This window comes from Homo sapiens, chromosome 7, assembly GCF_000001405.40.
Source record: "Homo sapiens chromosome 7, GRCh38.p14 Primary Assembly".
NCBI lineage: Eukaryota > Metazoa > Chordata > Mammalia > Primates > Hominidae > Homo > Homo sapiens.
In genome coordinates, this window is record NC_000007.14 from 147,366,809 (window position 1) to 147,393,184 (window position 26,376).

The 26,376-nt window shown below is 36.4% G+C and overlaps 1 protein-coding gene and 1 non-coding gene across 3 annotated transcripts in view; one reads left to right on the top strand and one right to left on the bottom strand.

The window, feature by feature from the left end:
* The window catches only part of CNTNAP2 (contactin associated protein 2), a 2,304,198-nt gene that overhangs the window by 1,250,008 nt on the left and 1,027,814 nt on the right, over window positions 1-26,376 (top strand). The window lies entirely within an intron of this gene.
* MIR548F4 (microRNA 548f-4) lies at window positions 11,209-11,313 on the bottom strand. The gene has a single exon (NR_031645.1). It is a non-coding gene; the product is annotated as a microRNA 548f-4 (primary transcript).

Below are 26,376 nucleotides of genomic sequence, written 5' to 3' on the forward strand. Positions count from 1 at the left end.
ACACCCCAATGTTTATTAGTGATTTCTAATATAATTGCATTATAATCAGAGATATTCTTAGACATTTTAGAGACTCGCAATATAATTTATTATATATCCACTTTCGTAAAAGTTCCATATTTTCTGGAGCGGACTGTATATTTCCTAATTGTCGGCCAAAGAATTATTTATATATCTTTAGATCTCAAAAGTTTAGGTGTGAAGTTTATTTTTTATTGTAGGATCAAACAAGTTAATTTAGTTCACAACCAGCCTGGATGACATAGTGAGACCCGGTGTATACAAAAAGCACCAAAACAAACACACAAAAGATAATTTAACATGGTGACCACTCTCCAATGCATTGTTTTAATTAGTTTTTCTTAAAAACCAACTTTCTCCTGTTGCTTTATTTTTGTAAATGTCTTTATTGAAGAGAGGCACATCAGCAAGGAAATAGGGCCACATCCTATTGGAGGGAATTCCGAGTTCTAAAATGCACCTCTACATTGGCAGAGAAATGACAACCAGTTAATGAAAACGAGTGTTTGGCAGCTGTTGTCTCCTTTGCCTGAGGCCGTTCTCTAGTGTCACAGCAGGGTAAAGATGTGTGAAAAGTTGTATGACCAGATGGCCATGAGATCCAGAATGCCTAGAAATAAAAGTTCTAATTGATTCTGCAAAAGAGAACTTTTAAAATTGCTATAAGGCTAGTCCCAGCATGATCCAGTACATGATTAAAGAACATAATAATATTAAATAACAGCAAAACTCAAAGCAGGAAGAAAGATTGTCCCATGCTATCATGTGACTCATCCACACAACAGAAAAGGCAAAACACACTCAGCAAATGGAAGAATTTACCACCCTTATTCTGGCCACTCATCACCTAAATGAACCTAAGCCATTCCATCTCAGGACTGTGCCAGTTATCACACTTCCGGCTCCAGTTAAGAGAATGGTGGGCAAACACTGGTTAAACAATAGAGGGTTTTTGTAAATTATCATTTTTAAAAAATTTTATGAGAAGCCTGAAAAGTGGGAATCCTAGATTTGGTTAATGCCATGGACCATTGGTGTTAGACACTTTACTTTTCACTCTACCATCTGTAATGGGCTAACCTTTGCGGTCAGGTCCTTCCAGGCATGGTTGATCTCACATAGCCACATACAAGGATGAGGAAAAGCCTTTCTTTCTTTCTCTCTCTCTCTCTGTCTCTCTCTCTCCCCCCCCTCCCCCTCCTCCTCTGTCCCCCTCCCTCCCTCCCTTCCTCTCTCTTTCTCTCCCTCCTTTCCTCTCTCTCTCTGTCACACACACACACACACACACACACACACACACACAAATATACACCATCAGTGAGAAGTATCATGCCAGAATCCCTAACAGATTTTATTTTGGATCTTATTAGTCAGGATTAGTCACCATGTGCTAGCTACATAGAAGCCTGGGCAGGGAAGTCTGTGACAGGTTCAGGGTCATTCTGGACAGCTGGTCAACTCTCTAAGCACAGAAGGAGGTAGAGGACAATTGAGTAGGGCATCCCTGAGGATATTCTGAAGAATGTCAGTTGAGTTGTGTTGGGTTTGGTTTTCTGTCTCCCTGCAAACAGTGGCAAGCCTGGAAACTTGCTTTAGCTCTTAAATAGTACTTTTGTACTTACTTGAAATATAGAGTGTCTAATATTTTGAGGCATTTCAATGATGGCAGCCTTGTTCTGTAGATGTTACAGAGAGATAATGAAACACTCCCACTGCTTGGTTCCTGTCCTTTTCCTCTGCCCACGGCCCGGTCAGAGCTGGAAGGGTCAGTCTGAGAGCAGGAGCAGCTCTGGCTACTGCAACCTTTGGGCAAATCACTTAACCTTTTTAACATGGAAGTCTTCATTAAAATAAGGGCATGCATGTATCAAGGGCATTGTTTGACTTATGTGATTATCTCGCAGTTGCTTTTGCCAATCACATCTTTCTAAATACAAAAGAGTTCCTCTTATTGCTGAAGCACCCAGCTAAAACAGAGTTGGTATTTCTCACAACTCATTCAGTGTAATTAAAAACAATTAATAGATACCTACTATGTATAAGATGCCAACATGAATAGATCATAGTTCCTTTCCTTGGGGACCCACAGTAGAGATACAGTTATTGAAATGTAAATCAATACATTAAAATGCAAAACTTGTGGAAGGCAGAGAAGTAGCAGAAAGGAGGGATGCTTTGCTGAAATTAGGTCACAAGTAGTAACTTGCTGAGTTTAAGGACTTTTGGACTATGGTCTATACAACGGAAAAAAGTATGGGAGACTTTGAATACTTTCTAACCACGTTAAATACTTTATAACCAGGTTATTTTATAGACACAAAGTAAAGGATATTTTATAACCATGTTAGAACTTGAAAAAGCACTTGCTATTTTGGATTTAGTTTATTCCTTCTTCTTTTGTGACTCTTTATTTCCAGCATCGTATTGGATATCTTCTCATGAAGATGGCATAGGCCTTTCAAACTGACCATGTCCAGAACCAAACTCATTCTCTGTCTCCCCCAAGCTAAACGTGTCTCATTTGTTTTTGGTGCAAGTTACTGACATGACCATGAACACAGTCACCAAATAGAAACTAAGGTTTGTTCATGAGACTTCCCTCTTCCTCTCCTACTACACACATCCACCAGCATGTACGATGAATTCTATAGTAAATCATTTCTCAAAATCGTTTCTGACTTTTCTTTCTCGCTCCCTTACTCTAAGTCAAGAATCAGCAGTCTGTTTTTCCATAAAGGGCCTAATAAATATTCTCAGTTTTGGAGGCCATATGGTCTCTGTCAAAATTACTCACCTCTGCCATTGTAGCACAGAAGCAGTCGTAGACAATATGTAAATGAGGGAACATACTCCTGTTCCTCAAAGTTATTATTTCTAACAACAGATTGCACTTGGCTTAAGGGTCATAGTTTGCCCATGCCTGATTGAGGCCCTCCTCAACTTTCACCTGGATTAATATTGCAGCATATCTCTAATTGGTCTTCCAGGCTTTAATTCTGCTCTACAATCTCGCCTTTGTATTTACCTGCATAAATAACAAATCGAATTCATACTGTCTGTATGAAAAGAAATCATTGCCCATAAGAAAGTGATATTTCCTAGCTTGTCACACGTGGTCGGTCCTTGCGGACTTAGATTCGTGTGGCTCTTTGTGGCTTCCTGTTCCAGCCCTTGTTGCTTCCTGTAGTCCTCAGAAATTCTGTCCCTTGCCTCTCCCCAAACACAGTAACATCTTCCGTATTTCCTACATGGTTGCAGTTGTCACCTCAGTGTATGGGTCACTCACTTATATGTGCATACTCTGTGTGCATGAGAGTGTGTGCGATTTGCTACAGATTTTAATTAAAAATATTATAGTCATATGCATGATTATATTTGTGTGTACTTAAATATATATGGAAGAAATGGACAATGACGTGTCCATGACAACAGAGATACTGTTTCCGTGCATCTGTATTTGATAAATTCTTAGTCATCTTTTAAGACAGAGCTATTTTGTGAAGCCACACCACACGTCCTTGGGGCAGTCATTGTCTCTCTGAGCACCCTTTGCACATCAGTCGTTTCTTGTCTATCACTTGCAGTGGTGTGCTGGAGCTTGCTTAGACTGGCTCAAGAAAACTGATGGTTAAATTTTCAGGAATTCCGTGAGTCGCTTGTTAAATTGTTGTAACTTGAAATTAACCATGATGGGAGTATCTACAATAGCAGATGCTACAAACCAGGATGTGTTTTTAGGGTTTATTTTGTTGGAGAACTGGTTGACCAGCACACCACTGAATCTTTCCTTTTCTGATCGACAACTATGTAAGACAATATGCCTAATAGATACCCAATATATAGATACATAATAACCCTTAATCCTTAGTATGTTTTAGATGACTCAGTAGACTTCCTGACTACTGTCTTTACCAATGTTCTATTAGATGAGATCAAAAGATGCATCTTTACATTGAATTTGATTTTAGTAGAGAGAATCACTTATTTTTTTAATTAGAAATTAAGCTGCATTTAGAAAGTTAAAAAATAATGATTACTGATTTTACATTTAAGTCAACTTTCAATATGCTTAGTATTACCAATTGTTACTTTAATAAGGTGTTTTTCTGGGAACATTGCTTATAAAATACTATTTATATGTTTTTGTTTGTTTAGCTCCAATATCAAAGAGAAATAGCTATATTGCATGTGCTATAACTGACTGTCAATGAATGGGTAATTTAAAATAGCCTCAGATGCCTCAAACCTTAACGCTAAATTCACCTCACAAAGGGAATTTATTCAATCCAAACGCCCTCCTATTGCTTAAATGAAGACATTGATATGAAGATTCATATCTGAAGTTAAGATATTAGTAAATCAAACAATGTAAAATTCACGACCATATATATCATACGGATTTGGAATTAGCTGAGTGATCTACTTTTGTATATTTTTGTGGTTAAATTTAAGCACTATACATTTATGAGAATGATTTTCTAAGAAGAAACCCCATTTATTTTCTAAGAAATTGCAGCCTACCTTTCTATGCTGGTTTGTTTTATGTACTACTATTGACTTTTCTTCAGTTTTATATAAGATACACAGCCTAGTGAATAATAAAAAAGTATTATTACATTTACTTTAACTCTTAGCCTTTGCTTTGACTGCACAGAAGGAGACCTTTAATTTTTATATGCTTTGAAATTCATGAAAATTGACATTTTTGCCTGACAACTTATTTCTCCACTTTCATATGCCTTTCCTCTTGACTGAATTTAGTCTTTTGTAGTGTTGCAGAGGCTGTAGATTACCAAGTTCTCCTAGATTCACAGGGCAGTAACTATAGGCTTGAAGAACATTCACCACTAAACCTGAGTGAGGCTCATTCGATGTTGTAAGAAATAGAGGGCTCATTTGTTCCCTCTGACAGCCTCTCCAGGGGTGCTCACTTATGTGTACATGCACTATGTATACATGTCCTATGTGTATGTATGAGAGTGTGTGCATTTTGTTATGCATTTTAATAAAATATAGTCATATATATTATTATAGATGTGTATATACATAAATACATATGGAGGAAATGGACAATGGTATGTTGTAATGTTCAGAAATGAACAAGGTGATGTAAACACTGTCCCTAAATCTTGTTTCACAGTAGAGTTTCCAGTAGATGACAAGTACGGTAGCCACCACAAAGGGCTGTGAGAGAGAGGGTGCATCTCTCCAAAACAAGTATTCCCCACAACACAGTGACAGTAGGCTAAAACATTTCGAATATTTTCCCTGCCTGCTTAGAGAAAGCATAGGGCTCAGGCTGTCATTCCATGTTACAGTAACAGTTCTCGTTTAAATTCATTAATAAACAAGCACTCTTCTAAACTTAGCTAATGTGCTCTTACTCCTGAAAGATAAAGAAATCCAGTTTTGGGATGCTGACAAAGTGAGTCTTCTGAGCCTATTAGAGTAAAAACAGCTTACCCTAGTGTAAGGCAACTATAACTGTAAGATCATGAATGTTCTCGAGAGACCACTTAAGGACAGACACAGGCTATTCTGGGCATATTTTAATGTCCTTTTTGGCCTTTCTATTTTAAAACATTTCATCTTTCTTGTGTGTGGCTCCTATCATTGCTTTCCTAAGTTTAAGTTGGTATATTCAACTGTTCATTCCTGAACTCTATCCCAGGAACTTTTTTCTCCCACTCTTAACAGAAGTCAAGAGACATAGGTCAATTTTCTGTAATTTAGTAAGTAATTCAGTAGCACTCAATACTCAGTATCATCATTTATACATTATAACCATTATAACATTTATTCTGCACATCTAAGTTTGCTTTGAATGACAGAATTAATACTAAGAGACCTTGTCTCCCTTGAAAATTGATGGGAAGGAAGCTTTAGCCAGATAAATACTTTTTTAAAAAAAAATGTCATCAAGTGAGAGAGCCTGAACCACAATCCCAATGGGATCAGAACACTTGAGTCAATTAGCCAAGACTCCACCTACCTGTGCACTAGTGATGGCCCAGCCAATGGAAACCCACTACTTAACATCCTGGCAAAGCTCCCTGTCTATGGGCACTGCTTAACTGGGCCATATCCTCACTTCCTCTCTGTCTCCCCTTTCTTTTTATGCTTTCTTTGCTGACCAAGCCCCTGTTCACATTCTTTCCTATATTTGTTAATATATTCCATCACATTATTAAAATCTAACTGATCGTACCGTCCAGGGACACATCGTGTCCCTCGAAGACTTGACTCTATTCTAACCCGTTATTGTTAAAATTAACTTTCAAAGGGCAATTAGCATTTGTAATTTCATGAGGAATAGTCAAATAGCCTGAAAGTAATATCAACAGGCTCTCTCTATTTAGAGGGGCCTCACTGAGAAAAGGTAAAGAATTTCCCGTTTTAACCCATGATGGTGTTTGTAACCTAGAATGCCATTTTTACAGCATTCAAAATGGCCAGTTTCAAGGTGGCTGACGTGGTTTCGGTGATTCATATTATCAAAAAATGTCTGTCTTACTAGATTTTTTTAACCAGAAGTTGATGTAGTTTTAAATTTTTTAAACTGCCATTTACTATGAATTTTAGGTAGGTGCACAAATAACCTACAGCTTTGAACTTTCTGAAGTAATATTTTCATACTTTTTACTTCAAATGTAGAATAATTTTTTACTGGTTAAATTATTTTGACAGCTTAAACCCAATGAAAGAGTATATGTGTATATATTTATGAGAACATTGAAATACTGTTTGAGAGTAATTATTTATAACAGAGACTTCTGGATTTGACAAATGTTATCATTGTCTTGAGAACTGTTTCTAGTTGTAAACAGTAAATAGATAATACTGTGGTCAGAAACTTTCCTGGAATTTAGTAGTGTTTGTATGAACTGTATACCACTGAGAACCAGAGCAGGGAGAACTTTAGTTTATTATACTTGAGTTCTGTTTTTTCTGTTTGTTTTTTGCTTGTTGGTTTGGTTTGGCTTTCATCTTGTAAATAGTAAATAATTATATTTCATCTAGCACATTTTTATGTATAGAAGATATACATTGGAGATGGAATAAAAATATAAACTGCCAATATTTTACTTATACTTTTGAAAAGATGACTTGTTACAGATAAATTTATCAGGAAAAAAAAAGCAAACATAGACTGCAAATCCCTTTGTTTTATGTGTCTTCCTAACAGATGATGGGAGTTTAGTCTAAAGAATAGAAAGCCATACGGACAATAAAACTCATTCACAGAGATGAATCTCGAATATTTCAATAATATTGCATTTGGATTGGAAACTGTAAACAAACCTTCAGACTGCAATTCAAATTTTACTTTTATTTTTTTTCTTACTTAAACATATGTACATTATATTCCTATTTCTCAAAAATATGACTAGGAAGGTAAAAAGCAACTAACGTTATAGCCTTCTTATAAAGAAATTTGGCCCTTTATGAGTTCAACTAAATAGCTAAATGTCTACTTTTCTATTTGTAACATGTTTTTTTCACTGTTACCAGTAAAAAGTCATTTATTTATAGGCCTCTTTAGATATTTGTATTTTTCTTCAACCACAATTTAAACATTCATCTTCAAATCTTGCCTACCATTGCATTTATTTGAAATCGACACTTGTGTTTTAGTTCATTTTTAATAATCTGAACCAAGGCTTCTGAATCATTTATCCATATGGTTACATAGTCTAGGTTATCAATGCCTGTGCATATCATACTGTAAAGTGCTTTGAAGATGTGTTCATCTCTAGGTGAAGCTTGTTGGCTGATGGATTTATTAAATGATTTGTGACATAGCATATCCCTTGTTCTACCCCCAAAGTCTTCCATTGAGACAGTATGCTTCCTCCAGAGGAGGAGCCGGTAGTCTCTGGCTATATTCTGGAAACATAGGAAAAGAGGAATTTCCCTTTTTTCTTTTGAGGGGCCCTTTTCCTGGTGTTGCCTTAAAATATTTTTGTCACGTCATTTTCCTCAGTAGCAGTGAGCGTTACTGGGTCAGAGTGTTACTATACACTCAGTAATTTCACACATATTTACTCAGTTCATCCTTGATATGATTTGGCTCTGTGTCCCCACCCAAATCTCATCTCAAATTATAATCCCCACAGGTTGAGGGAAGGACCTGGTGAAAGGTGATTGGATCATGGGGGCAGTTTCCCCGATGCTGTTCTCATGATAGTGAGTTCTCATGAGATCTGATGGTTTTATCAGTGGTGGTTTTCCTTCTTGCTCTCTCTCACCTGCCACCATGTAAGACGTGTCTGCTTCCCCTTCCACCATGATTATAAGTTTCCTGAGGCCTCCTCAGCCATGTGGAACTGTAAGTCAATTAAACCTCTTTCCTTTACAAATTACCCAGTCTCTGGCAGTTCTTCATGGCTGTATGAGAATGAACTAATACAATCCTCATGATGATATTATGAAATAGATACTATTATTTTCTCTATTTAAGAGATGATGACAAACTGTGAGTCACAATTTTTAAGTAACTCAGTAACACAACTGGTGTGATTTGTGTTACTGCAAATTACTGTCTGTTTTACAGTAACATTGGTAATTATGCCATTTTCACCCCGACACAATTTCAAACACACCCTTCCCCACCAAAAACTGAATCCAATTGAGATTCCCAGTTGCAGATTCTCTGATAATTACTCTTGCAATCTTTTAGGGAGGAACAGAAGGTTACATGGCTGCCTTGAGTGGTGTAGGGGGCCCCAGCCAATCTCCAAGTTTTATCTTCTATACCTTACATTCTGCCGCTTTTCATGATACATTCTGCCTCTTGATTTTGAGCCTTTCTGGCATTGAGTGGTGTAGCTCACCTCGCACAGATACCTCTCCCCACAAGTACTAAAGTAGTTTTTCACCATTTCCATTTTCACTTCTCATGGACTTCATTATCTTTAAAAACTTCATTGAAATCTCTCACCCAACAGTTGTACTCATATTTCGTTGACGTTTCAGCCTTTATACTTTTTAAAAATCAGTTCACTCTTACTTTGGTGAGTTTTCAGAGGCAGAGGAAGCAGAACTATAATCAACTAATCAAGCCCCTTTGAGCCAGCAGTTCTTCCAGGTTTGTGATTCACAGATACCCTGGAAGAATTGATGAAGGCTTCTATCATCTCCCCTAGAAATGTGAAGACACAAGATATTCTGTATGACATTGGGGCTGAGGATAGCTTTTGTGGTTGGGAAGAAGTATGATAATGTGTGGAGTTTTCCCACATATATTTAGGAACTTTACTCTTTTATTAAAAAACAAATTAAAAGTTGCATCTGTTAAATTTTCTCTTACAAAAACATTTATGGATTCATCATTAAACATACATGTTTTGGAAGCTTAGTATTTATCACGTTTGTATGATAACTCGGTAGTGAGAGCACAGAGGGCAGTCCCAGTGTTCAGAGAGTTTATGGCAGATAGTCGAAGGAGAGAAATGAGGAACAAGGAAGTATAACTGTGTGACAGGAGACTATCATACAACTTATGCCCTGGGTGCTACTGAAGCACTGAGGGGAGGGACCTAGCATTTGGAGTAAGAAACAGTCATCAGGGAAGGTTTCATCGAGGAAGTAGGGTTCATATGTTTTGAAAATGTTATCTATTTGAACACTCTGTTATCAGGTACAGACATATTTAGAATTTTTCTAACTTGTAGTGAATTTTACCTTTTTTCATTGTATACTAACCTTCCTTATCTCTCAGAGCGCCTTTTTCCTTGTGTTGTCTTAAAATATTTTTTGACACCTCATTTTTCTCAGTATCAGTGAGTTCTCTGTGCTTCAGAGTGTTATTCTATGCTCAATAATTTCACGTGTATTTACTCAGTTCATCCTCATAATAATACTATGAGATACAAACCATTATTTCCTCTATTTTAGAGGTAAGAAAAAACATGATGCACAATAACTTAATAACACAACTGGGGCAATAAATAGGATCAAATTCAGACACCAGCACCTTGAAGCCTGAACCTCTCCACACAGTAACACTACTGTATATTACAAATGATCTCAATACGTTTATACTATAGCACTAAGATTGGTATATGATTGTAACCATACTAATTTTCTTTTTCTTAAAAAAGTTGTATTTGCCTTAGTTACCTTTCTCAATTCTTTTACTTTCAAATTTTCTTAGTTCCTGTGTGTTAGACATGCTTCTCAGAAATAGTATTTTGCTAGATTTAAGAAAAAATCAATAGTTCTGTCTTTTCAGTATAGTATTTCTTAATATATTTCTACCATCTTATTTTGCTTTTTCTTTTTGATTTTCCTTTATTCCTTCTTCTCCCCCCCCTTTTGGTTGATCAAATATTTTTAAAATATCGATTTCCCCTACAATTGCTTTGAAATGTATGTATGTCATATCTAGTATTTTAGGGATTATCCTTATTTTTTTTCAAAAATACTTATTAAATTCCAACATAGCTTAAGATCTTGATCTTTCTCCTGAACATAATCCTAATCACAGTATTTGAAACTTACTTCTAATCACACCCTATCATGCTATAGTCTACTTTTTGTCCTGAGTTTTAGTTCTCTTTTTTAACTTTAATATTAGTCATTATCACTTTTATAATTTTAGTTTATGTAGTCAATATAGTTTTAGATTTTACCACATTTGCATATTTCTTCTGTTATTATGTCATCTTGTATTTCTCTCTTTTCTGGACATAGTTCCATTCTTTGACACACATCCTTTAGTTTAGATGGCTTTTAATGGGAATGTGTTGGTACTAAGGTGCTTCTATTTTTACATTTTTAATTTAAAATTTTTTCATTTTTTGTTTTTCTGAAAATATCTTAATTTTACCATCTTCCCTGTTTATTTAGCTTGGTATACAAGTCTATGTTGAAAGTTTAGTTTCTCTCAGTACTTTGAGTATATTATCCTACTAAATTCTACCTTTTGTTTTCACTTTTCTTAAGAAGCTTCCTGACTGTTTTAAAATTGTTCCTTAGGGATACTCTCTCTTTTCTCCCTTGCTACTTTTATGTTCCGTGGTAATGTGCTGTTATAGCATGCTGTGTTTAGTGCTAGATTACCTTTATAAAAATGTTTAATTGGGATGTATTGTCCTTTCTGAATCTGAATTTTTAAATGTTCTGGAAAATTCTTAGATGTTACGTATTTTAATTGATTCTCCATCATTCTCCCTTTTCTCTCCTCTGAAATTCTATTAATATTGTTCCAAAAGTAATTACAGTTTTTGTCATTACTTTTAATGGCAAAAACCACTATTACTTTTGCACCAACCTAATACGTTAGAACTCATTTTTATACTGTATATTGTAGAATTTATATTTAATGTTTCTAAGTTTTTTTAAATTTCTGAATGACATTGTCGATATTCAATCTACCTTTCAGTTTACAAACTCACTCTGTAGCTTTGTCTCATCTGCTTAATGCAACTAATGAGAGGTTTTTTTCTTTAAAAAAATTTAACTTATATTGGTATATAATAGGTCTATATATTTATGGGCTACATAAGAATGTCTAATAATTATATCAGGGTAAATGGGGTATCCATCACCTAAAGAATTCATCGTATACACAACAGAGTACTATTCAGCCATATAAAAGAATGAGATCTTGTCATTTGCAACTACATAGATAGAACTGAAGGACATTATGTTAAGTGAAGTAAACCAGGCACAGAAAGACAAACTATGTGCGTTCTCACTCATTTGTGGGAGCTAAAAATTAAAATAACTGAACTCCTGGAGATAGTTGAATGATGGTTATCAAAGGCTGGGAAGGATAGTGGGTAAGGTGGGAAATGGTGACAGTTAACGGTTACAAAAATACAGTTGGATAGAATGTGTAAGATTTAATGTTTGATAGTACAACAAGGTAACTAAAGCCAACAATATTTTATTTTACATTTAAAAATAACTGAAAGAGTCCAGTTAGAATGTTCATAACTAATGCGTTTTTAATTCCAATAATATATTTTTAATTCCTGGAGTATCCATTTATTTCCTTATCAACAATGACTGGTAATTTTTAAGTATTATTTGATATGGTTTGGCTGTGTTCCCACCCAAATCTCATCTTGAATTGTAGTTCCCATAATCCCTACATGTCGTGGGAGGGACCCAGTGAGAGATAATTGAATCATGGCAGCAGTTCCCCCCATGCTATTCTCACAATAGTGAGTGAGTTCTCACGACATCTGATGGTTATAAGGGACTTTCCCTCACCTTTGCTCTGTACTTCTTGCTGCCTCCATGTGAAGAAGGGTGTGTTTGCTTCCCCTTCCGCCATGATTATAAGTTTCCTGAGGCCTCCCCAGCACTGCAGAACAGTGAGTCAAACCTCTTTCCTTTATAAATTACCAGTCTTGCCTATGTCTGTATTAGCAGTATGAGAACAGCCTATTACAGTATATCTTATTCTTTTCTTGTATATTTAATTCTCATTTTACTTCAAATAATTTATGAATGTTTTATTTCTCAATCCCCAAATTTAGCTGAAATTGAATTCATGGGGGCCAAATATTCCATGCGGTGTTTCTGCTGAATTCTGTTCATTATACTTGTTTTCTTGAGTTTTATATTTTTGGATTGTGAGTTTAAATTTTTCAGGGCTTTGTCATTAGTAATCCTATAATTCCAGAGTGAATCCAGAGAGGGGTTACACTTTATTTCAAAAGATACCAGCTTGGAACCATTTTTTCTATTTTAAGTTCTTGATTTGGGGGTTATATCCAATAGTCAGTGTAAATTCAAAAGCTGTAATTTAATTCAGCAAGTTTATGGCTTATGCATTCTCAAGAATCATCATTTTTTTTGGAAAAAGATAAAATACAGACAAATTTCCTTGTCATCCCTCTTTGCTGACTAGTTAATTTTTCTCCAGTGTCTGCTTTACTGTGAATTTAGCATTTTTAGGTTTTATGTGGTGGGGCTAGGGGCGTGAGGGAGTTCCTATTCTTTGCACAGGTCTATTACTTGATTTCTAATTCTGTTTGGCCTTGAAATCCAAAATTCTGCATTGTAAAGATTAGTAAATACCCTCTGACTACTATAGCCCACCATCAGCTAACACCCTGAATTTCAGTGTTCTCTTTTTTTCTTGATACCCAAAAGCTTCTCCTATTTTACTGGATGCTCAGATATATAACTTAAAAGATGTATGTTACATTTTATTTAGCATTTCTAGGTGTTTGAAACTGGAAAATTTTCAGGCTCCCATGTTGCCTCGTCCTAGGAAATGTAATCCTTAGAGATTATTGTTTCTGTTTCCTATTATGTGATGTGACATTACAGAATGTTAAGTATTTTAAATAAATTATCTTATATCAGAAAATTTATGTTATAAACTTTTGGGGTGCAGTTAATATTTTAGAAATGTTTTCAGATACAAAAAGCCATGTTTTAAAATATCTCAGAATAGACATTATAATCTTGAAAAAAAAACCCTGATTTTTATTGAAGGGTTTTGTTATGAATGAAATTTGGAGGTGCTCTTGTAGCATTCTGCATTTACATTCTAGCATCACGCTTCATCAATAAACATGAAGACATTTGTATAACATGTAAAACCATCTTATTTATACCAAGTGCAGAAAATTGAAAAGCTTCTAAAGATTATATCAAGAGGAATAATAATAATACAAACAATAACAAACACCATAACAACAAAGAAAAGAAGAAGCAGGAGGAAGAATGGCAGTCACAGGCTCCTATTTTAGGCCAAGCACACTCCTAAGCATCAAAGCCAAAAAAAAGGCAGAAAAATGTTAAGGTGACAAAGGCAAGAGCCCACGCTACACAAAGCATTTCTTGGCTCGCCAATTTCAAAGCAACTCCTGAGATAGAGCCTCACAATCTGGCTTTGCTATTGATTTGAAGTTAATATCAAATTAACAGAATACCAAAATATATAGTCATATATAGAAGCATTCCAAAGCTAAATAAAACTGTGTTTGATTTCCTACTAGTTGGGATTGTCCCTATCATCTTAATGCAGATAATTGTGAGTCTAGTTTATATCCATATTTTACTTTTCCATCTGCAATGATACTAATTTTTTTAATAGCAGAGCCATCCCCCATATGAAAGTATTTGGAAAATATATAGACTTTCAAAATGACAATATAGACGAGACTAAGAAATTATTTTCTGGGTTTTTTTTTGTTTTTTAAATAGAGTGAAAAACGAATCTCTCAAATACAAAATATTTTTAAACGTGAGAAACTTGCACGCTACTCCCTCAAAGCTGTCTAATTCAAGCAAACACTAAATGACACTGGCAGAGCTGATTGAGCAGCTGCTGGGTGTCAGTCACTGTACTAGGGGCTTTTAATACAGTGTTTTATTTAACAGTTTACAAAAACCATAGGAATTGGGTATTATTAATTCCTGCCTTACAAATGAAAACACTGGCGTTAAGACAGGATGAGTGAGTTAGTCAGGGTCACACAAATACATCTTAAACCAGTTCTGGCTATTCTGCAGCCCAAGCTTCCAACCACCGGCATTGTATTTTTCAGAATATTGTATAATTTCATAGTAATTAAGCAAATGTTTACACTTATAAGAAAAAATCAGTAAGACAATATTATTTTATGTTATGACTGTATCTGCCGATGTTTTAGATATACTAGCAGTTTGTGGATATAAGGAATTAAAGTTATCTGATGTAAAAATTATTTATTTTATATTTGCATTTTCTCTATTTATCAATACACAACTAGGTCATGAAAAAGACTATGTAAAAAATATATGAAAGTGTCAAATTATTCAGTTTGTTCATCCTTTTATTGTGGCCCCTAGGCAACGATGGCTTTTTAAATCATTTTGTATAATTTGATTTGCAAATTGCTAAGTATCCTAGTTTGTCAACATACTAGTCTGCTTCTCTAATTTCTTTTCAATTTTACGTTCTTGTAAATCTCTTTACGCTTATTAAAAGATACTCAAAAATATCACTATCTTTTAATGTTAAACCAACTTTAGTATAAACATATTTTATATATAATGAGTATTATATGAAAATAAGATGGGAAACCCACAAATACTATTAAAAAACAGTTGCTACAACTAACACAATATAGTTATTATAAATATCCATGTATAAAAATAACATTCTAAACCTTAAATATTATGAAATATTCTAGCTAAAGTATAATTTAAAATAATATGGCTACTCTAAATGGTCCAATAAATTATACCAAATTAATTTTCATTAAATCAATTAATCTAATAAACATCACTTTTAAAAATAAGTATTTTCTTGTTTATATATGGCATAATAATTTGTAAATCACTACAAACATATTTTGCATTTGGAAAACCAGATCATTAGAGGGAAAAAAAAGATCCTGGGCATTTTCAAAATTCCTGAGTTTGTTTTATTAAATAAATAAAAGGCTCTTGAACAGGAGCATAACAGGATCAGATTAATATTTTTGATAGAGACACCTCAAACTTCAAGCCAGAAACAAATTGGAAGTGGACAGTAGAAAATCTGTGGTAGTCTGGGCTCAGGTGGGAACGAAGAGAAAGAGGGCTATTCAACAGGTAGAATTAATATGATATGATTGTGCATTTTGCAGAGTGAGGATGGAAGTGCCAGGATCAACTCTTGATTGATTAATATGCACAAACTTATTGATAAACTGAAGCTAAGACTTTTTGAGTGACCAGTGATATAGAGACAATGACAGAATACCAGCAATATCTTGAGTTTTGAACATGAGTGCAATATTAAAATGGAGGAGTCAAACTAAACTTTGGATATATTAGTGTTGAGTTCAGAGGAGAGAGCTGAGACAGAGATATGATTAGAGACATCCTCCCATAGTTGGTAGTTGAAGCAATGGCTTTGGATAAGGTCTTTATTAAGGAGAATCTGCCAAGAAAACAGAAGTAGCCTAGGACAAGCTTTAGGAACTCTCTCACTTACAGACGAGGTAAGAGACAAGAAGTCAGTACAGGAGGTTGAAATGTGATTGTCAGAAAAGTAGAAGGAAAACCTCGAATGATGTAGTACATTGTCAGCCAAAGAAAGATAAATTATCAAGAAGAGAGTGGCACCTTCTCAAACTTTTTAATACTGCCAGTTTATCTACTCATATGAATGGGCAGTAACATTGTTTTTAATCCTATTATATTACTCTTTCTGTAGTTTATCTTCCTAATGAGATTATAGCATTCCTGAGGACAAAAGCAATATAGTTTAGGTGCTTAATAAATATAAACAGGATTGAAATTGCCAACACTATTTTTATCCTAGAAAAAAAGTGATACTTAATATTACATCTTCACTTCCTTTAGGTCTTGGTGTCAGTTCTCTTATCAGAAAGGTCTCTGACCGGCAGTTTAATATCTTTCCTCTCTCCTGGCTCTGTATCCGCCTTACTCAATACATTTTTCTTCATAAAAATTAATGCATTCATTCAAGTGATCATTCACCTAACAAATACAGAGCGGTCTATAAGTCTGGAAACCAATATATATTATGTTTTAAAGAAGATATTTTTATCACTATTTTCAGACTTAATAAATACCTTGTATCTTGATCTTCTCTCTGATATCATATGGATTGTTTTAGATAAGTAAGGTGGTGATTTTTAAGGTTTGTGAATTTTGTGTCAACAAATATTTTTAAAAAGATACATAGTGCTGCAATAAACGTACATGTGCATATGTCTTTATAGTAGGAACAGAAACCCAAACACCACACGTTCTCACTCATAAGTGGGAGTTGAACAATGAGAACACATGGACACAGGGAGGGGAACACCACGCACCGGGGCCTGTCGGGGTGGGGAGCAAGGGGAGGGGAGAGCATTAAGACAAATACCTAATACATGTGGGGCTTAAAACCTAGATGATGGATTGATTGGTGCAGCAAACCACCATGGCACATGTGTACCTATATAGCAAACCTGCATGTTCTGCACATGTATCCCAGAACTTAAAGTAAAAAAATAAAAATCGTTTATGAATCATTGATTCATAAAATGAATATACTAGAAAAAGAAAATACCATATTCAGAAGTGCATACACACAAACACAGCCCCCCCAACACACACATATGTAACTAAATAAACCAATGCAGATAATTATAAATTGTGACAAATTCTGTAAGAAGAAATTAGTAGTTGAAGATCTAAAATGAAAAAAATTTATAGAAAAATTTTAAATTGACTGGTCTGGGAGGGCCTCTTGGAAGGTGACATTTGAACTGACCTGAATCATATGGATAACTCAGCCATGAAAAGTACAAGTGAGAAAAATAGGAAGAAAGGGTTTGGTTTTCCTGAGATGCATAGAGAAGAGTATGGCTGAAACATGGTGACCAAGGATAGACATCTTAAGTATTCACTCTGAAAACTAGCAAAGTAGCCACACAATAACATGGCAGAACTATTGCTAAATATGATAGATTTCCTTGAAGAGTAAAGTATATATTACAGAAAAAGTGAAACTCATGTATAATTTTCTTACACATATTTAATGGTTTAATTCATATTGTTTTAATTTGTAAATTTCAGAAGAGGGATGCTCTAAGTGGGTGAATGTATCCTACGATTTTTAGGGTTAGGGATCTCTCTATGCCTAAATCTGCCTAAAAGAGATGTGAATTTACCTTGCAGTGAGAGTCAGGAGTCAGAATATTCAGAGTCTTTGAAAGCCACAGAAGTCACCCTGGTTTGATCATATAGAATACATATATGAGGATCAAGTGTAAAATGCTACTGACAGGTCTAGTAAGAGAAAGACTGAAAATGTTCTTTAGTGGCCTGAAAATTATCAGACACTATGAAGAGCAATCTCATCAATAATCCATAGAGGTTGAATGCATAACAAGGTGGAATAAATGTAATCCAAATTAGAGCTCTTGGATGACAGAATTTTTAGCGTTAAGTGCCATTTCAGTTGGAACATAACATTTTATACAAATAGTTTTTATTTTGAAACAATTTAAAACTTACCAAAAAAATTGCAAGAAGGATAAAAAGGCCACTACTGTACCCTTCACCCAGAGACCTCCTTCAACGTTTGTTACTTGTTTGAAAATGTCCTTGTATTAGTCTCTTTTCACACTGCTGATAAAGACATATTCATGACTGAGCAATTTACAAAAGAAAGAGGTTTAATGGACTTACAGTTCCACATGGCTGGGGAAGTCTCACAATCATGGTGGAAGGAAAGGAGGAGCAAGTCACATCTTACATGGATGGTGGCAGGAAAAGAGAGAGAACTTGTGCAGGGAAACTCCCATTTTTAAAACCATCAGATCTCATGAGACTTATTCACTATCATGAGAACAGCACAGGAAAGACCCATGCCCAAGATTCAATTACCTCCCACCAGATTCCTTCCCTGACTCGTGGGAAGTGTGGGAGTTACAATTCAAAGTGAGAGTTGGGTGGGGACACAGCCAAACCATATCATTCCTTGTCTGGCCCCTTCCAAATCTCATGACATCACATTTCAAAACCAATCATGCCTTCCCAACAGTCCCCCAAAGTCTTAACTCATTTCAGCATTAACTCAAAAGTCCATAGTCCAACGTCTCATCTGAGACAAGGCAAGTCCTTTCTGCTCATGAGCCTGTAAAATCAAAAGCAAGTTAGTTACTTCCTAGACACAATGGGCGTACAGGCATTGGGTTACTAGAGCTGTTCCAAATAAGAGAAATTGTCAAAATAAAGGGGCTAAAGTCCCCATGCAAGTCCAAAATCCAGCAAGGCAGTCAAATCTTAAAGCTCCAAAATGTGTCCTTTGACTTCATGTCTCATATCCAGGTCATGCAGATGCAAGAGGTGGGCCCCCATGGCCTTGGGCAGCTCTGCCCCTGTGGCTTTGCAAGGTATAGCCCCCTTCCTGGCTGCTTTCAAGAGCTGGTGTTGAGTCTGTGGCCTTTCCAGGCACACAGTGCAAGCTGTAGGTGGATCTACCATTCTGGAGTCTGGAGGATGGTGGCCCTCCTCTCACAGCTCCACTAGGCAGTGCCCCAGTAGAGACTCTGTGTGGGGCCTCTGACCCCACATTTCCCTTCTGCACTGCCCTAGCAGAGGCTCTTCATGAGGGTCCCATCTCTGCAGCAAACATCTGCCTGGGCATCCATGCATTTCCATACATCCTCTGAAATCCAGGTGGAGGTTCCCAAACCTCAATTATTGACTTATGTGCACCCACAGGCTCAATACCACATGGAAGCTGCCAAGACTTGGGGCTTCTGTTCTCTAAAGCAGCAGTCCAAGCTGTATCTTGCCCCCTTTTAGTCACAGCTGAAGGGACTGGGACACAGGGCACCAAGTCTCTAGACTGCACATAGCAGAGGGACCCTGAGCCCGACCCATGAAATGATTTTTTCCTCCCTAAACCTCCAGGCCTGTGATGGGAGGGGCTGCCGCAAAGTTCTGACATGCCCTGGAGACATTTTCCCCATTGTCTTGATGATTAACATTTGGATCCTTGTTACTTATGCAAATTTCTGTAGCAGGCTTGAGTATCTCCTAAGAAAATGGGATTTTCTTTTCTATCACATTGTCAGGTTGTAAATTTTCCAAACTTTTATGCTCCGTTTCCCTTTAAAAGCTGAATGCCTTTAACAGCACGCATTCACCCCTCAAATGCTTTTCTGCTTAGAAATTGCTTCTGCCAGATACCCTAAATCACCTATCTGAAGTTCGAAGTTTCACAAATCTCTAGGGCAGGGGCAAAATGCCACCCGTCTCTGCTAAAACATAACAAGAGTCACCTTTGCTCCAGTTCCCAGCAAGTTCCTCATCTCCATCTGAGACCACCTCAGCCTGGATTTCATTGTCCATATCATTATCAACATTTTGGTCAAAGCCATTCAACAAGTCTCTAAGGAGTTCCGAACTTTCCCACATTTTCCTATCTTCTTCTGAGCCCTCCAAACTGTTCCAACCTCTGCCGTCACCAGTTCCAATGTTGCTTCCACATTTTCAGGATTCTTTTCAGCAGCACCTCACTCTACTGGTACCAGTTTACTGTATTAGTCTATTTTCATGCTGCTGATAAAAACATACTCGAGACTGGGCAATTTACCAAAGAAAGAGGTTTAATGGACTTACAGTTCCATGTGGCTAGGTAAGTCTCACAATCATGGTGGAAGGCAAGGAGGAGCAAGTCACATCTTATGTGGATGGTGGCAGGCAAAGAGAGAGAACTTGTGCAGGGAAACTCCCATTTTTAAAACCATCAGATCTCGTGAGACGTATTCACCATCACGGGAATAGCACAGGAAAGACCCACCCCCATGACTCAATTACCTCCCACTCGGTTTGTCCCATGACACATGGAAATTGTGGGAGTTACAATTCAAGATGAGAGTTGGATGGGCACACAGCCAAACCATATCAGTCCTTTACAGCAAAAGGACCCACTCTGGGATCACATGTCACACCCTGTTTTTCTGATTCTCCAGTCTCTAACAATCATAATTATATCTTCACTTTAGTAATTTCTTCACTTTCACAACCTTCTCATTCTTGAATATTCTATCCCAGTCATTTGTCGCTTGTCCTGAAATTGGATTAGTTTGATGTTATACCCAGCCTTGTATTTTTGACAGGTGTCTTACACACCATGCTTTATTCTTCTCATTGAATCTCATCAGGTGGCCCCCCAGTATCAATTGGTCCTGTTACTCATGGTGATAACATTGATCACTTGATTATAAAGGTATCTGCCTGGTTTCTCCAATGTAAAGTGACTGCTCTCCCCTTTGAAATTAATAAACATATATATTTTTAAAATTGGGGTACTTGGTGTATATATTTATGAGGTACATAAGAGGTTTTGATACAAGCATTCAATAATGGGGATTGGGGTATCCATCTCAAACATTTATCCTGTGAGTTACAAACAATCCAATTACATTGTTTGTTATTTTAAAATATACGATTATTATTGACTGTATTTACCCTATTGTGCTATCATATAGTAGGTCTCGTTCATTAGATGGGGGTGGTTTATGAGTTTTTTAAAAAACTATATTTTTAAGGAGATAGTTTGAGGCTATGTTCTGCTTCCAACTTTCACCCACTTATTTGAGCACCTATTGATATGCCTTGCCTGAATTAATTATTAACATGATGGTTTCCAAATGGTGACTTTCTTCTTCCTACATTCCTGTTACATGTATTACTTAGTGTAGTGCTATTGGAGGAGCTTTCTATTTTCCCTGTGTATTTATTCACTTTTAGACAGGCAGACTCTTGGATTCCTACTTTATTCAGTAGGATATGATCTGTAGCTTCCTCTTTTTTTCTCCTCCCTTTTTTATTTTGATATTCAAAATCTCTTTTTGATACTCAAATTATTTATTTTGTATGCAAATTGCCCTTAATTTGAGGAGCAGATGCCATTTCAGGCTGGCTCCTGTGTCATTCTGACATGACCCCATCATTCTTTGGGCACTTCATTACTTTTTGGTGTGGCAAAATGTTCCAGATTCTTACTGTACTTTCCCTAACACAGCTTAGAATCAGTCATTTCTCCAAGGAGTCTTGGTTTTGCCCAGCATAGAAACCAGGATCTGGGAAACAGAACTATTCATTGCTTTGAGAGTGACCCTGTACGTAGGCTGTCTTCAGTGGATGATAGGAACCATCTGTATATTGACCAAATATACAATTTCATTCATACTTATTTCTGTATCTATCTACATATAGTGAAAACCACAAATTTACACTAATTGATTAAATCCTAATGCAAACCCACTGGGTTCATTCTGTCTTTTTTTTTCTTTTCTTTTTTGAGATGGAGTCTCGCCCTGTAACCCAGGCTGGAGTGCAATGGCGCAATCTTGGCTCACTGCAACCTCCACCTCCCAAGTTCAAGCGTTTCTCCTGCCTCAGTCTCCCAAGTAGCTGGGATTACAGGTGCACACCACCACACTTGGCTAAGTTTTTGTATCTTTAGTAGAGATGGAGTTTCACCATGTTGGCGAAGCTGGTCTCAAACTCCTAACTTCGTGATCTGCCCACCTCAGCATCCCAAAGTGCTGAGATTACAGGCGTGAACATTCTTTCTTATGTTTCATATGTGTACCCTCTTTCTTTGACGTTGGGAATTTGACTCTCACTATCCTCCATGTATTTACTTATTTGCCCAATCAACCTGTACTGTAACCAATCTCCCAGCCACATGGGGTGGAGATCCTGTGTGGACATCCTCTGTGCACAGGTCCTGGACACCACTAGACTCTCTTCCCCTGGACTACTCTATCTTCCTGCCTGCTGGGACCCTAGTTTTTATGAGGCTGTTTTCCTGCCCCTGCTCAATGGGTTTTTGACTAAGTTATTCAGGAAGGTTGAGTAAACAGTAGAGATTAGTAGACATTTTGTTATTCAGGAAGGTTGAGTAAACAGTAGAGACTAGTAGATATTTTGTGCAATCTGCCAAGATCAAATTGAAAGGAAGACAGTAGGTGGTTTTAAACATCCTTAAAGCATTCCACCAGCCTCCCTTGGACCTCCCAACCTTCCCAACTTTAAAAAAGGCAGAGAGAAGCTTTATATGCACTTGGTTTTAAACATGTCAATTTTTCAACCTTGTTGTCCACCGTTTGCTTTTTCTGTCCCATCAGATGAACATTATAACTTACAACAATTTAGGTTGCCATTTTAATGTCAAAACAAATATCAGCAAGTTTTTCACTGATGTATTTCTGAATTAAAATTTTAAAACCTTGAAAATGCTTGTGTTTTCTTTGTCAGCAAGAATAGCAATATACTGAGTGGACTTCAAATCAAGTATGAAGTTTTTATATGCAAGTCTTGAAACAGAAATTTCAGACATGCCAGTGAAGTAATATAATTACAATGTTCCTGGAAAGAAGAAAGGTTTCCAGTGCATGGAAAGTAAGATGCAATTGAGACTGACAAGATTACAATTCACTGTGGGTGTTTTAACACATTGTCAGATTGTAGAAACCAGTTACAATGACCCATGTATAGACATTGTATTTTTTATTCCAAATTCATAGAAATTCAAAGATATAACAAAAATACGCAAAAATTTTAACTTTATATTTTTACTAACTTGACAATTCGTTACATTCACTTTATTTCCATTTTATAGCTATTCATTTCTGACCCTCAAAATGCCAGCTGCAAATTTATATTACCAAAAAATCCCACTGTTAATCTAAGTAGGTTAAATCCTGAGCTTTGGAGTAGTCACTGAAGGTATCACAAACACTAATACACTAGTATTTTTACTGAAATTTCATTTGTTCATAAAGAGAACAAACACAGAAAATAAATAATAGGTTCTCCTCTGTTTCTAAGGGAGTTAAAACAGCAGGAGGTTCAGTATCAGAGATCCAACATCTTTAGCTCATTGTTGACTAAGGGAACTGTCAATATTCCACCAGTTACATAATGTTTCACAGGTGTGAGTAATCTTCAGGTTCTAATTATTAAAACTGATTTGAGATTATAATAGCAGGATGTGTTTGTTATACTTTGTATTAGTTATATATTGCTGCATAGTGCATTGCCTCAAAACTCAGTGGCTCAATGTAGTAATAATTTATTATCTCTTACTTTTCTGTAAGAGGCCAGTAATTTAGGAGCAGCTTGGCTGGGCAGTTCTGACTTGATATTTCTTATAAGGCTGCAGATACATGTTTCCTAGAGCCACAATCAGCTGATGACTTGACTAGGATTAGAGGCTCCATTTCAAGATAGCAGACTCACATGGCTAGCAAGCTGCTGCTGGAACTTGGTAATAGGCTTTAGTTCTCCTCCTAGGTGCCTCTCCATCTTACTACTTGAGGGTTTCCATGGCTTTTAGGCTGGCTTCCCTGGAGTAAGGGATCAAAAGACCAAGGTGCAGCCTCTAATGCCTTTATACTTAACCTTGGAAATCATATCACCTTGTTACTACTGCAACATTCTGTGTCACACGGAGCAGCACTGATTGTGTGGGAGGGAACTATACAGGCCGTAAATATTAGGAGGTATTTAAAATAACATAATTATAATGTGAAGATTTATGGCCATCTTGGAGATTGATTGCCGGTGTTCACCCTACAGCCCACAGAGATACATATCTTTTTCCACACACGAAGTACACCCAACCTCCTCTAAAAGCCATCCAAAGTCTCATTCCACTAGGCCATCTGCTCAAATTCCAGGACCTCATTGTCTAAGTCAAGTCAATCCAAAATGAATCTCAGAGAGTCCAAGAGAAAATGAAGCTGTTTAGGTATAGTCACTCAAGTACCACTTCCCAAGTACAGTTGTCAATCTTAAGACCTGTAAACAAGTTTTGTGCCATCCTCACACCACATATACAATGGTAGATTATGCACAGAGAAACCAAATTAGACTCTCTGGTTCAAAAGTGGAGAAAATAAGAGAGACAAGTCACTGGTCCACAGCAGTTTTGCAATCCAGTCAGGCACATGCTGGTCATTCTTGATTAGAACTCAGTCATGCTGTTTCCCGGACATGATTCTCCATGGCTCTTGGCTCTGCCCTCTGTGTTAGTTCTGCCACTGTAAGTCATCCTTTTTTTATGTATATAGAGGTTGTCTATGTTTACAGCTGCATAGACTCCTGACCATAAAGTTTGGAAGTCAAAGGCCTGTTTCTATTTTGTCCCAACTCTGTCCCTTTCAGTACAAGCTGGTGGTGTTACCTCCAATATAGTTATCTTAAAAATGAATGGGTTTTCTATGAATTTTATTCAGGTTTACTCCACTTAATAAAAGGCACATCCACAATTATATAAAGATAAGCTCCCCCTTACCCCTTGAGCTTCTGTAGATCTACAGAAGGAAAATGCTTTTAAGATAATTAGAATCCCTATTGTTTAACTGAAAAGACCTGTAAAGCATAAAAATAAGCTCTTTAGAGGGTCTTCTGTCTCATGGAGTGTCTCCCTGAGGAATACCTAATAATTTTCTTGGGTCTTTATGTAGATTTTATAGTCACGCTTCCTTGTCATCCTTAGATCATGTTTTCCTGGAATTTGATCTTTGCTTAGAAATGTGATTTCTTAATGTTTGCATTGTTCACCATCTGGAGAGATTGGAATTGAAAGAGCATTTTACTTTAAAATTCAGTAATGCCTGGCTTCTTCATTTGTAATAGTTCTTCTTTAGCTTTTTCTCTCCCATTTTCTTTTTCTTTTACTATAAACAGAAGATGCCCGATGGCTCCTTCAATACTCTACCTGGAAATGTCCTTAGCTAGATTATACAATTTCATTTAACTGTATCTTTTTCTTTTCCATATTATCACAAGAAACAATGTTGCTAAACTTTCCACCAGAACATAGCAAAGATCTAATTTTCTCTAATTTCTGATGACACTTTTCTCACCTTCCTTTAAGTCATTACAGCTCCTCAAGAGCCATCACGCTTCTTTTAAGGCCTGTCCCGCTAACTTGCATATTCCTGTCCCTAAATTACTGCCACATTTTCAGGTTTCTGTTATAATTCTCTGCCAGTATCAAATTCTTTTTTTTTTTGGTACTAAAGTATTTTATTCTATTTTATTTTATTTTTAATTTTTATTTCCATAGGTTTTTGGGGGAACAGGTGGTATTTGGCTACATGAGTAAGTTCTTTCGTGGTGATTTATGAGATTTTGGTGCACCCATCACCTTAGCGGTATACACTGAACCCAATTTGTCTTTTATCCTTCACCCCTCTCCCACCTTTCTTCCCTGAGTCCGCAAAGTCCATTGTATCATTTTTATGCCTTTGCATTCTCATAGCTTAACTCCCACTTATGAGTGAGAACATACGATGTTTGGTTTTCTATTCCTGAGTTACTTCACTTAGGATAATAGTCTCTAGTCCCATCTGGATTGCTGTGAATGCCATTAATTCATTTAATTTTATGACTGAGTAGTATTCCATTGTGTATATGTATAAAAAAGCCACATATTCATGGCAGCACAATTCACAATTGCAAAAATGTGGAACCAGCTCAAATGCTCATCAATCAACGAGTGGATAAACTATGGTATATATACAATGGAATACTACTCAGCCATAAAAAGTAGTGAATTAATGGCATTTACAGCAACCTGGATGGCATGTCCAGACATCACATTCTTTATTTGATATCTATTGTTGCATTATGTGTCACCTTAAAATTAATTTCAAACAATGATGAATATTCATTACCTCTCCTGGGCCACTCCAGAAGACAGTGTATGACATGGTGATGACTTGCCACGAAGTAAGTGATCTCAGAGACCAAGTTGCAGAGTTTTCTATTGTTCACAGAAGTCAGGCCTAATTGATTATAGAAGGGGACAACAAAAGGGTGTGAAGTCAGGAGCCAAAGATTAACGATGTCCATCTTGGAATATTATGGAGA